General features: G+C 34.2%; 1 long non-coding RNA gene across 2 annotated transcripts in view; it reads right to left on the bottom strand.

Moving 5' to 3' along the window:
- The window catches only part of LINC02820 (long intergenic non-protein coding RNA 2820), a 172,109-nt gene that overhangs the window by 75,434 nt on the left and 82,220 nt on the right, over nt 1–14,455 (bottom strand). The window lies entirely within an intron of this gene.

Raw genomic sequence — 14,455 nt, 5'->3', positions numbered from 1 at the left:
AAAATATTACTCTAAACTAGAAGATTAATATTACAGTGTTACGAATGTTTTTATTGTACCTAAAATTAAAAATGCCAGCATTTTCTTCCTATATTCTTTGTCATCTCAGCAGTTCAGTAAACTTCAATGTAATATTTTAAACAAATTTTATATGAAAACCAATATTAAAATATATTTACCTATCCTTTTATATGTGCATGAGGTATATACTTTTTAATTTGCAAGAAAATAAATTATTTTCCATATTTATTTAAATCATTTTATTAATAGATTAGCACAGGTATTACTTAATGATTCTGACTTACAGGGAGAGAGAAAAAAGTTTTTTTTATAAAATTAGGGTGTTTTAAAACATAATAAGGCAACAGCATATTATGACTTGCAGTTGTAAATCTCACAAAAAGACAGCTCCACTGACTCTTTACCTTGTAGTTCAGTTTTACCTTTTCATTTTAAGATGTTCATATTATGTTCAATTTCCTCTTCCATCCTCTATTGAATTTAGTGTCCAGGTTATTTTCATTTCTGTAACTCATCACTATTCATCAGGAATTATTAGTGGTAGTATTTTCTGCTTAAGCAAATGTGCAACAAATTTAAAACCAAAGAAGCTGATCATGAAGTAATCCTAGAAGAAAACATGGTTTTCAGATTTTCCACAGCCTGCACAATAAATTAGGTTGAAGACAGAAAGACTTTTACAGGGAAACTCAACAACACATGTAGAAAATATAGATTTTCGCCTGGGTGCTCATGTTTCTAGATTGTATTCATCTAATGCTAACATACTTGATTCAACCTGAGTGCTTTTGGCAAATGGAAATAACTGGGTACCAAATGCCTACCTGTTGCCTCTTTATAAATTACTAGACATTGTTCACTCATCCCTGCATTGTCTTATAAATTTTCACTCATTCTCATACCTAAAACAACGTATAATTACATCTTAGTAGTTGTTTTTCTTACAATTTAACCTAGTGGCTTCAAATATAAACTCAGCAGCAAGAAAAAAGGAAAAAGTACTCTTGTTAGCATTTTAGCATTTGTCAGACTCGACCATGTTGGAAATTACCCTCTAATTATTACAGAGCCTTGACTATGTTGTTTGAAATGAATGCAACAGTGTTCATAATCTTGACTAACCATGCTGTCCATGGTCTTTGAAAGATGGCATATTTTCAAATATCCCAGACTGGCTCACAATGCTGTCATATGTCACACTGGATTACCTTAGCCAGCTTGTGTTATGTTACATCAAGGATGTGACTAACATTAACCACATGTAATACAGCAGAGCAGTGCTATCCGCCAGGGAAATTTCAAAATGGCACAATTTTAGAAACCAGAATTTTAGACATTTCTGGTCATTAAGAAAAAAAAAGGCATCTTTAAATTGTTTTAAAAGAGATTTCTATTTTTTTCACTCTCACTTTCAAAGGAGCTGGCAGTTATAGGCAAAGCACAACTTGCTATACTCAGTATTGCAAATAAAAGAAACTGTAATATCAAAGCAATGTAGATTCAAAATATTCAAGTGAAACTTAAATGTAAGTACTTTAGAAAACAACATTCAATTGAAATTTTGCAAATTAAGTAAATAACTTTAATAAAAGAGGAAGCAAATGATGTGTGATTTAACTTTACCTCAGGTTCCACAGGTTTCATTTTGTAAAATGATTATATATTTATGTATCTTTCAGGGAATAAATTATTTTGCTTATCAACAAAATAAAGCAATTATTTGCTTACCAACAAAATAATCAGACCAACAGTGCAAATTATATTTCTAATATATGTAATCTAAATTTATACAAATCAATGAATAAAAATTAGGTATTTAAAATACTGTTAACAGTAGCATGTAACTAATAATGTTTATAGTTGCATGTAACTAGTAATGTTACCTTACAGGGTTCAACAAAGTCCTAATAGTCTATCACTCTTCAAAGATACTAAGACTTGCCATGAAGCCACTAGAGTTCATTGCCAGTAACAGGAGCAAAAATTCCAGTGAAAAAGATTCTGGCCTGATTAATGTCCACATGTATAGTAGAGATACAGACCAGCTCTGCTTTTTCCGAAAATGTAATCAGCAAGAACATGGTCTCTCAGTTAAGCTTATTCAAGGATATGCCAGATTAACCACCTGTATAAGTAGATACACCCCACCCCTTTCAAATTGGAATTTACAAATACTTCATACCTTTTAAAATTCTTTTGTTTCCAGTAAACTTAATCTTAAACCACTTGGAAATCTCTAACTCTTTTGGCTTTACTTCTCTGTCTACCCTGGATCCTACTTTAACTGAAAGTCTCAAAATAGTACTGAAAAATAATGTTGCGTTCCTGTTCTTGTTACCCACTTTTATATCCATGACAATTATTCCAATTAAAGAAAATTATTTGAGCCATATATATTGGAGCCAAATTAAATTTAAGGTTTCTTGTCTCAGTAGGGTTATATGGTTTTCTTATTACTCTGCATTCTCTTCCTACTTACTATCATTTAACGAGTGTTTCTCAAAAAGGTGTGGTTTTGCACCCCTGTGGAATATTTGGTAAAGCTGCAGACATTTTTGGTTATCATGACTCAGGGGTTGCTACTGACATCTGTGAGCAGAGGCTAGGGATGCTCTAAACATTCTGCAATACACAGTATCACCCTGTACAATAAAAAATTATTCGGCCACAATGTCAGTGTTCCAAGGTTGAGAAACTTTGTCTTGAGCTTCAATTATACCACCTATATGACTATGCATTAAAATTTTTACTGCAAATAGCTCCTTTGAATCTTTGGTCCTTGTATTCAGTTCTCTATATAATATCTCCACTCGCGTGTCACAAAGTTGTTCAAACTCAACTTGTCACAAACTAATCTTAAATTTTGTTCTATAAGTCTTCTACCTCAGTATTATTGAATAGCATCACTACCCACTACCTAGTACCACAGCCAGACACTATGCCACCCTTCCCGTCTTTCTTCCCCATCCACTTGCCCAATGCATTACAGAGCTCTACCATTCCCAAAGCCTAAATATTCTCTAATGTGTCCACTTCTTTCCGCTATAATGTCAAACACCGTAAGCAAACCACCTGGACTCCCCAGATCCCAGATCCATTCTTAAATTTCCTGAGTCCATTCACCAAATGCCTCCGGAGTGTTTTTTTGTTTATTTGTTTGTTGTTTGTTTTTGAAAGCTTGACTCTCATCATGCCACCCTACTTTCTACCATATGCAGACTTAAAAAACTCAATATTCTGTTCTTGTCCCTGCTTGCCACTCCAGTGTTCATTTTATCTTTCTTCAGATTTCTCCTTTATTTAGATAATCTCATGCTTCACATGTAATTTCATTAATTTCACAACACACATATTACCTTTCAATAATTATTCTTAACATCTTAAATTATTTTTACTGATATTTATAATAATTTTTTAACTTAACTCAGAAAGTTAGAAGTCATCACCATCCCTTTTAGCCAACGTCTTCTTCGTTCTTGAGTTCAGCTTTTTAGAATGTATCTTTTTGTTTTTCTAAATGAAGCATAAGTACTATATTTTCCATGTATCTATACATGTAAATATGTATTCTTATTGTCTTATACATTAGTCTAGTGATCACATTGTTGGCCATAATATTTTTTTAATCTTCATTTTTTTTCTGATACTTTGTACTATAGAGAGGTCAGAAACTAGACTTATTTTTTTTGGTAGGTATGTTTTTTCCTGTTTATAGGGATTATTTTAAAAATTATTAAATGTAATTACATGTAATTAAAATAGTTTTCTAATATATGTCTAGTTGAATGTCTTTTCTAATATTAAAAATGATCATGATGAGAGATTGTTGATTAAATCCTTAGTATAAGTCAAATACTAACTGTTTTATATACAGTATTTAATCTTCAAAATTACCATGTGAGCTCATTACTTTGTTATCCCCATTTTACCAATAGGAAAACTGAAATTTATAAAGGTTAAGCAGTTTCCCCAAGGATGTGCAAATAGGGCTTAAATGAGGCCGTAAGACTAATTCTTGCTAATTGAACGACGGTAAAAGTAATTTGTCATTTTGTGGAGAAGACAAAACAGACTGTGTCTTCCCACAGTCTCTCTCATCAGCTTACCAGTTGTTTTTTGACACCCAGGGTGACTTCGAAAGCCACTGTCATAGATGAAAGTGCCTCTATCAATGACTCCATGAACGACTGCATGGAACAGAAGTCCTTCTCAACTCCAACCAGAAATACCTACATGGAATTTCTAGGTGAGTGAAACATAAATCTGTATTATGTTAAGCTTCTGGGCAGGGCACGGTGGCTGACACCTGTAATCCCAGCACTTTGGGAGGCCGAGGTGGGCACATCACCTGAGGCCAGGAGTTCGAGACCAGCCTGGTCAAAATGGTGAAACCCCGTCTCTACTGAAAAAAACAAAAATTAGCTGGACGTGGTGGCAGGCACCTGTAATCACAGCTACTCAGGAGGCTGAGGCAGGAGAATCGTTTGAACCCAGGAGGCAGAGGTTGCAGTGAGCCGAGATCACGCCATTGCACTCCAACCTAGAGGACAAGAGTGAGACTTCATCTCAAAAAAAAAAAGCTTCTGAAATTTTGCAGTTTAGTATTGCTTCTCTCTAAATATTTATTAACACAGTCAAAAACATAAAATAAAGCTACACATTTAATCTTTACTGGGTAAAATAGGGTGTGCCATAAGTGTTCTTTCAGTGTGTGTTAAAGGAAAATACAGTTTACTTTAGATAGAGAATTAACTATGTTGGACTGGCATTGGTAAGGTATCTGTTCTGAATGGTTTTCCTAGTGACAGTATTAATATAGCCTATTTATTCCTATGTGGAAAGATTACAAACATCAAACATTTGCATAACAAGCATATTCATAGCTAAGTATATAAAAGTCAGAATATGCTGAGGATCTTCAGGTTGATTATAACATTTTTGTATCCAGTAGGCACTTTGCGATATTTAAAAGTATACTATTTTTATTAAAAAGTTAAAATGCTTAACCCCTTTAACCTCAATTTCAATTATGGTAATCCATTCAAAGCAAATTATGCTAAAACACATAGAAACATAAAGATGTGCACAAAAATATCTTTCAGTTATAAGATTAGTTCCTGTAAAAATTGGAAACAAATTACATGTCAGGGAAAGGGGCATATATTAAGGAAATCATGGCACTAATGTTTTTGTTTAATTATCCATCCATTTTGTTGTTCAGAAGTATATAGCTCCATACATACAAAGACAGTAAAATATAAAGACAGTGAAATTGATGTGTACTAAATTGGAGCTTTGGTGTAATCTTGCCATATCTGCATCTCAGTTTGTTCTGTTCATACGCCTATATGGGTGTATATGTTTGTATTTATATCTCTATTCCAAGATTTTCTCTTGTAGCCTTTTTTATCTTTGTTGTATTACATTTACTAAAATATTTATGTTTATTGCTTAAAAGGTGAATGACACAAAATAATTATATAAAACTATCGCCATGTTTATTTTAAGGAGTGGGTTGAGGATTTTTTTTATTACATCATAATGTGTCCTTTTTACTAGGAGTCATAAAAAAAATCCCTCCAATTCCAGGCATAACTGAACTGCTCATGTGCAAGAATTTAATTTTCAATTTGGACTAAATCGAGTAGTTGATGGTCTCTACTTTGGCTTCTAGGAAGCTGAGAGCTAAAATCAGGGCTTGTTTCTAACGTGTGCAGGATTTTGTGGCACATGTTTTATGTTCTGAATTCCACCTGGCACCATTCTCATTTTTAATCCTTATTTTACTTTTATTACATTTTCATCATTTTCGATGAATTATACATAATTCTAGTGTTGGGTCTTAGCAGTACCTACTTTAGGGAACAGGAAAATCTACCTTTAAAGCCTGCTGATAACCACATTGAGCAATAGGTGGGGAGAAAGTTACATTCCTGCATAGTTAAGACAAAATACGTTCTACGATGAAAAAGCACATATTTATTACCGAATTAACATCACTTTTACTTCTTATTTGTGTTCATTCATTGTGCACTGAGATTTATTTTCTCCAATCAGTTATTTTAATCGAGGTTATGCCTTTTCTTGCAAACTGTAGACCTCAGAATCCATAAGTAAGATGTAAAAACTAGGAAGCAGGCATGAAGGATCTTGTCAGCACATGTGTTAAATTTAGTTGTCTAAAATGAGATACTAGCTACATTTATTTATTTAAATCTTTATTTTTAATGGAGATGGCAAGGCACAGACTCTGGGCTTATACTGCTTGGTTTCAAAACTCACTTCCCGAAGGCCATGTTTCATCTTTCCTGGATCACTACAGTGACGTATTACAGTTGTACAGTTCCCAGTCTGGCCTTGGCTTGCTCAGATAAAACTTTGTATGTATTTTGTATGGCATAGATTCTATATTGTAATGATGTCCTATGCAAAAAGAAAAATTAATGAAATTGTAAATTTTATTGTTTTAATGTGTATGCATGTTTAGTGATGTTTACATTTTGAAATAAAATTTATGATTCATTATTTAAAAAAAAACAAAACTCACTTCCACTATTTAGTAGTTGTGATGCTTAGAACAAACTATTATGTAGTCTCAATTTTTTCATCTGTCAATTGGGAATAATAGTGTCTATCTCAAAGGTACTTTGTGAAGTCTAAATAAGCTAATATGTTTAAAAGTGCTTAGGATGTAGTTTGGCACTTCATCAGCATTGTATGTGTTAGTTATTATTTGTCTCCTTGCAATTAAAACATAGTTTCAAGATGCTTGATACTAACTGTTAAGTAAGAAATCATTGAATGAGGTATGCTCAATTTAAGTATACCTACTAACTGACTGAATCTGGAGAATTAGCTCTTATCCTTTGCCAATTATAAATTGTAGCTAATGTTACTGCTTTACACAAAACACTAACTAGTGTTCACAGCAGGGAAGAATAGTTAGCAAAGCCTCCAATTAGAGTTTTGTTTATACTTCCACTGGGAAAGATGATTTGTTAGTTTAAAAGATACCTATTGTGTTGATTACAGGTGTCAGCACATCCAAATTTTGGCTGTGCTCAAATACCTGCTGTGAGATGTAAGACAAGAAAATCAAGCCTAATTGTTTTAATTCAAACATATTTTCATTTACAACTGTGCTGATTGCTTTGACCCTTGGCTGAGTAACTTATTTAAAACTAATGTTTTTAACTACAAAAGTAATTTGACCTAAATTGATTAATTTCTTATTGCTGTCTTTGCTACTGAAAATAGCTTACCTTTAATACATAAGCATCCAGTATATTTATTACATTTATTTTTTATGGAAATAAATTAGGAGTTCAATTCACCTTTAGAAGGGGGTATCATGTATATGTGGTTGTGGGCATGACTGGCACATTTTTAAGTTCAAAGAATTCAGGAATTAACACTCTAAATTACTCAGGTAGAACACATAAAAGAAACTACCAAAAATGAATTAAGATTTTTAAAAAACGCCATCATAGATCCCTCAACATGTAATCTTTATTCCTGGGTATGAGTGTGGGATGGATTTGAAGGGGCAATGGCTGACTACCTTCATGCAAAAAGAAGCTAGACTGTGACACTTCTAGATGTCTTGATTTCTATGAGACCCCCAAAAAGTTATTACAGGCAAATGCACAAACTTAAAGTGAACCTACAGACATGGACACGCTATATTCCCTTTATAATCCCACAATATGCTTAAGGTATTTAATATTTTATTTGTTTTTTAACCAGCTCTTCAGAATTTAGTTCCAAAAAACAAAATCATGCAAATATTTTAAACTTCTTCACAATGATACAAGCTATTTATTACTGCTGCTATTTTATTGAAAGAATAGAAATGGAAAATATTAGATAAGTGAAAAAAATTAACAAGTGTACTAAACTAATATTTCTCTTTTTTTTCTTATCTTTCAACAAAATGCCTATCTCTTTCATTAACTTTAACTTTCGGGACTCTTAGCTTGGCTTATAATAAAATAAACAACCTAAGGTTGTCTTCCCTGTCTAAGTTAATTTGAATCAGAAAAGAATATTTACCTTTTCTTGGAATTTGTGTGATTCAAGGTTAGCCTATTTTGGAAAGACTGAGTGAGGCAAACCTAATCCTTTTCTGAAGCTCATTAATTGGAAGCAGGACCACACTGCAATAGCCTTTTCTAAACTGAGGGGAACAATTAAGAATTTAAATGAGGTGAAAACTCCAAAACAAGATTCTCCCAGTGGCCTCTTCTGTTTATACAGTAACACTCTAAATAAAAAGCCGACACCATCCGTGTTAAATTTCACTAGTTAACTGATAAGCTGGAGCGGAGAATACATTGACACTCTGGGTAGTCCTGTCAGTCACTCAGGCAGAGTCCATACATAATGCATGAGGATTTCCACTTTATTAGCAATGCTATTTTTTTAAGTCAATGGATGAATAGATAAATTGATAGACAAATAGAGAAATAAAGGGGCTAGACATTCAATTTAAACTCCCCTTAGTATTACTATCGGATTTGGAGATTTAAAATATTATTTAAGCTTCTCCAAGTGAATGAAAATACACCAGCATTTTGTACTGTGTCTATGAAGATCTGGAATGCATAACATTCCTTGTAATTTTGCAATTGACCACAATGTCACAATCTTGCACTATTTCAGCTGTCTCCACAATGAAAACCAAATTGTAGGTTAAAATTACTTGCATAATGGAATGAAATTCTTGCACTAGTACTTTAAGCCTTGTCTAGATTTTAAGCACTCACTTAACCACAAAAATTTTTTTTCATCAGTTATAACTAACCAGTAAATTTCTCAAATCCACAAATTAGTTACTAAATGACTTTTTGGCATGTTTGGGCAATAAAAAAGAATAATTCCAGTGCAAAGCACGGTTCATCATCTTTATTCAACTATGTTTCAATGGAGAAAAACACCAATATCTTTTACGCTGAAGCGTCTGAACACAGCTCAGAAGCACAGAAGGACAACTACTTTTTCCAAGGAGGCATCAGGGTATGTCAAAGGAGCATGGACCTTGAGTTATGACACCTGGAATCTAGTCCCTGCTCTGCCACTAGCCAGTTGAGGAAACATGGGCAAGCCTCTGGGACACCACTTTGTCATGTGAAAAATGAAGATGTTAGATGATCTCGTCTATTCCTTCTATCTCAACTCGATGAGACCACAATATTTGAATTATTTATGCACAAACGGTGGCATCCACGCCTGTAGATCTGGAAGACTCACTGGCCTTCCCTTTACATTTACATGCAAACTGCCCAAAAGATGAGTCTGCACAAAAAATCTTCAAGTTCACCTCTGTCTGCATTTTTTGTCCTTTTCATCTAGAGCATAATGTAGAGTCTGTAAATTACATGTAATACGGTGCAAGACTGTGGTACATGATCACATGTGTTTGGGGGGAGTTATATTAGATTTTCAAAGGAATCTATGACCTTAACTATAATGTCTATCTTAATCCATCTATAAGATCTAGCCACAATATAATCCCATCTCCTACCACAGTTTCAAATATTTCTTTTTAAATAAGATTTTCTTTTTTAAATTTTTTTCTTTTGAGTGCAGGGGTACAAGTGGAGGTTTGTTACACAGGTAAACTTGTGTTGAGGGTTTGTTGTATAGATTATTTCATCACCCAGGTATGAAGCCTAGTATCCATTAGTTATTTTTCCTGATCCTCTCCTTCCTCCCACCTTCCAACCTCTGAAAGGCCTCAGCGTGTGTTGTTGCCTTCTATGTGTCAATGTGTTCTCATCACTTATCTCCCACTTGTGCCTTAAATAAATGTTCTGTTTTTATATTTTTAAATTCTAGAGCAGAAACTTTAATCCAATTCTTTTTTACTTCAAAACCTTAGTTATCTTATGGGGATATAAATCCCAATATTAACTTGAAAATCTTCTTTAGTTCCTAACGCTTTAGCTCCTACAATTTAAGCCACAAGGTACTCATTTCCAAGATGGAGACTATTCCTTGAAATATTGACTATTCATTCAAATATTTTGGAGCACCCACTATGATCCAGTAATGCTGTGAAGAGGCTTGTTATTTGAATAAGATAGTTAAGCAAAGCCTTTTTGATTAGGTGCCTTTAAGCAGAGACCTGGAGCTAGAAAAAGGGTGAACCTTGGAAATGTAAGACGGAAGAACATTCCAGGCAGAAGAAAGACCAAGTAATAGGACCATAATGGTGAAGCCTTCTCAGAGTTCCAGGAATAGCAAGAAGTACATCCTGGTAATTAAAAGGGGTACAGAAGTTAGAGGATACCAGAGGAGTAACCAGGCTTTTTGCTAAGGACTTCGACTTTTTTATTCTGAGGGTTGTTAGCAGAGGAGTGCTATAATCTATCATATGTTTTAAATAAATAACTCTGCCTGTTGTGTGGATCATAAATTGAAAGCGGGCAAAAGTGAAACAGAGAGACCATTTAGGGAAAAAAATTGTATTAATCTAGATGGGACAGGATGCTGGTTTATATCAGGATATAGTAGTGAATATGATAAATGAATTCTGGATATATCTTGAAGGTAGAGTTACTGGATTTCCTTATCGATTGAATGTAAAGCATGAGTGAGGAAAATAAGTATAGAGCAACCCTTTTTTTTTTTTTTGCCACCTCAATAACTGGAAAAATGGAGTTACCATTTTCTAAGATGCGGAAAGACTGCCAAAAGGCTTGTGGGTGGAGAAACTGAAATAAAAACTTTGTCTTTGAACATCTTAAGTTTAAGATATCTATTAGATATGCTAAGTCCCAGGAGAGTCTAGCCAAGTACATTTATGTAGGTGTCTTTAACAACATAACAATTGTGCTTCAAGTCATAGGACTGGATGTGAAATTACTTAGGGAATGAGCATAGTTAGAGAAAGAGAAAAAGAAAAGAGGGTCAATCACTGCACTTTGAAGCATTCTTACATTTACTAGTCAGAGATATAAGGTAAAATCAGGAAAGGGACTGAAAAGTGACTCATTAATAGATGGTGACACGAACTAATAGGTATATAAAATTGTAACATTTTAAAAAGAAATGCCTTGCGTATTGTGAATCCTCAATAAGTAAAAGTTACTTATTGAAAAGCTTATGAATAAGCTGCACTCATAATAACTTCTCTAGGCTAAGTCTAAAATTTTAACATCAATTGCCCATGGGCCCTTGCTATCTAATTGTTCCACTAATACCTCAAACTCAATGTTTAAAATTGAGCTTACTCACTTTCCCTGTAAACCAGATGCTTCAATTGTGTGCACTGTCTTGGTTTTGAGCATCAATGCTCTCCAGACAGGGTAAAGTAAATTTAATTTCCAAAAAGAATTTTTCATGTTTACACGGTAGTTTCGCTTAAATGAAAGTTCTCATGAACACACTTTCTGAAGCATGAGTCCAAACTTCTGGATTTCTTAACCGTGCATTCAAGGTCCTCAGCGATTTGCACCAAACCTTTTCCAAGCTCACTTCACATTCCTACTTGCTTTTAAGAATAGCCTGCTCCACTTTTAGATGGGGTTGTTTGCTTTTTTCTTGTAAATTTGTTTCAGTTCTTTGTAGATTCTGGATATTAGCCCTTTGTCAGATGAGTAGATTGCAAAAATTTTCTCCCATTCTGTAGGTTGCCTGTTCACTCTGATGGTAGTTTCTTTTGCTGTGCAGAAGCTCTTTAGTTTAATTAGATCCCATTTGAAAAAGTGGGCGAAGGATATGAACAGACACTTCTCAAAAGAAGACATTTATGCAGCCAACAGACACATGAAAAAATGCTCATCATCACTGGCCATCAGAAAAATGAAAATCAAAACCACAATGAGATATCATCTCACACCAGTTAGAATGGCGATCATTAAAATGTCAGGAAACAACAGGTGCTGGTGAGGATGTGGAGAAATAGGAACACTTTTACACTGTTGGTGGGACTGTAAACTAGTTCAACCATTGTGGAAGTCGGTGTGGCGATTCCTCAGGGATCTAGAACTGGAAATACCATTCGACCCAGCCATCCCATTACTGGGTATATACCCAAAGGAATATAAATCATGCTGCTATAAAGACACATGCACATGTATGTTTATTGCGGCACTATTTACAATAGCAAAGACTTGGAACCAACCCAAATGTCCAACAATGATAGACTGGATTAAGAAAATGTGGCACATACACACCATGGAATACAATGCAGTCATAAAAATGATGAGTTTTTGTCCTTTGTAGGGACATGGATGAAGCTGGAAACCATCATTCTCAGCAAACTATCGCAAGGACAAAAAACCAAACACCACATGTTCTCACTCATAGGTGGGAATTGAACAATGAGAATACTTGGACACAGGAAGGGGAACATCATACGCCAGGGCCTGTTGTGGGGTGGGGGGAGGGGGGAGGGATAGCATTAGGAGATATAACTAATGTAAATGACGAGTTAATGGGTGCAGCACACCAACATGGCACATGTATACATATGTAACTAACCTGCACGTTGTACACACGTACCCTAGAACTTAAAGTATAATAAATATATATATATATATATATAAAGAATAGCCTGCTCCAGCCAACATTAGTAATTCCCTCTTGTCAAGTCTACTGTGTACACTGCTGCCAAGTTATCTCTGTTTAGATTATCTTTCTTTCCATCTCTGTTTGGTTAAATAATATTTAAGACTTTGTGTTGTCACAATATCACAATTCCATTTTCTTGGGATTTTACTCATTCTTTTAGAGCTGACTCCAGTGAAGTGTTATTCACAAGCTTTCTGCAGACTCCATTCAGAAGGGATCTCACTGTCTTCTCAGAGCATTTGCCTCCTTCCTGGCTTACGACATATCCAGTTTGAACCCATATCTTCTTTAAAATTACTTAGGCATGGCCTCATATACCTTCTAGATTTTAAACTGCTCCAGAGGCCATGAATACTATCTACCAACTCTAACACCTTTCCTAAGTATTTTTGTCAAAATTCTGTCTCAATTTTTACAAACTTTACTTGTTGAACCGTATTCACTGTATATTAACTGCCTTACTTTACAAAATGAAGCACCGATGCCTAGCAAGCTTAAACTACCCGCTCAGGGGCCACATACTGACCTTGGTATAAGGTCAGTTCACTTTTTCTTCCCATTCTACCACAGTAAATACAGATAATAAATAATCACATATTTGATTAACAGAGAAGAATATAAATATTTTAAATGGTAAAGAATAGTGTCTGACTTTATAGTATCCCAAATCAACAATGCTGTCAGTTCTTGAAAAAGGTATGCATTACCAAATTATGTTGATAAATATATATACCTACCCAGTTGTACCCTAAGAAAACCAGTAGCATCTATTTTGTAAAATTACTTGCAAAATATAGTTTTATCATTTCACTTTCTAACTTTTTTAACAAAAGCTTTATTGAAGTGTAAATGACATAGAAAAATGCACATATTTACACAATTTGATAGGTTTTGATATATATTTACACCCATAAAAGCCTAACCACAACCAAGATTGTGAATATATCCATCACCCTCAGTAGTTTTCTCATGCCTCTTTTTAATCCTTCCATCCTCAGCCTTCCAGTATTTGCCTCACGCAAACCCCAGCAACCACTATTCTGCTTTCTGTCACCATAGAAGAGTTTTCATTGTTTTGATGTTTTATAAAATTGGTCTATATACCCTATACTTGTGTTTTCTGACCTCTTTTACTCAGCATAATTATTTTGAAATTCATTCATTTCATTGCATTTCTCAAAAGTTCATTCTTTTGTATTGCCGTAAATAGTATTACGTTGTATGGGTATACCACAGTTTGTTTCTCCATGCACCTGTCGATGGAAATTTGAGTTGTTTTCAGTTTTTGGTTATTAAAATAGAGCATCTAAGAACATTAATGTACAAGTTTTTATATGCACATATGCTTACTTTCATGTGGGTAGCTACCTAGTAGTGTAATAGGCAGATCATATATCTGTACGTGTAGCTATTTAAAAAATTGCCCCAAGTATTTTCCAAAGTGGTTTTACTATTTTCCCACTATTTCCAGCAGTGTATGGGAGTTTGAGATCTTCCACAGCCTTGACTCAACTTACTTAATTTAATTAGTCTTTTGAATTTTAGCCATCATGAAGTGTACACTAGTTCACCTTTTAATTTTTAAAACACCGACTATGTGCCAGGCATTGGCAGTGGGAATATAATGCTTAATAATATGTCCCTTCTTTCACAGATGTGACAGTCAATGAGAAAATAATAATCAAACTCATAACTTCAAGTACAATGTGGTAAACCCTTCAATACAGGTACAGAGAAATTCTTTTAGAAACATAGGGAAGTGAAGTCAAAGAAAGATTATGGAAAACTTTTAAAGATTTAGAATTAGAAAGATACCTTGACTCAGCTAGATATGAAAAAGTAAAGATGCAAACGCATA

Source organism: Homo sapiens, chromosome 12, assembly GCF_000001405.40.
Source record: "Homo sapiens chromosome 12, GRCh38.p14 Primary Assembly".
Classification (NCBI taxonomy): Eukaryota; Metazoa; Chordata; class Mammalia; order Primates; family Hominidae; genus Homo; species Homo sapiens.
Note: the sequence above shows the minus strand (reverse complement) of the source record. Positions and strands in the feature narration are given on the sequence as shown.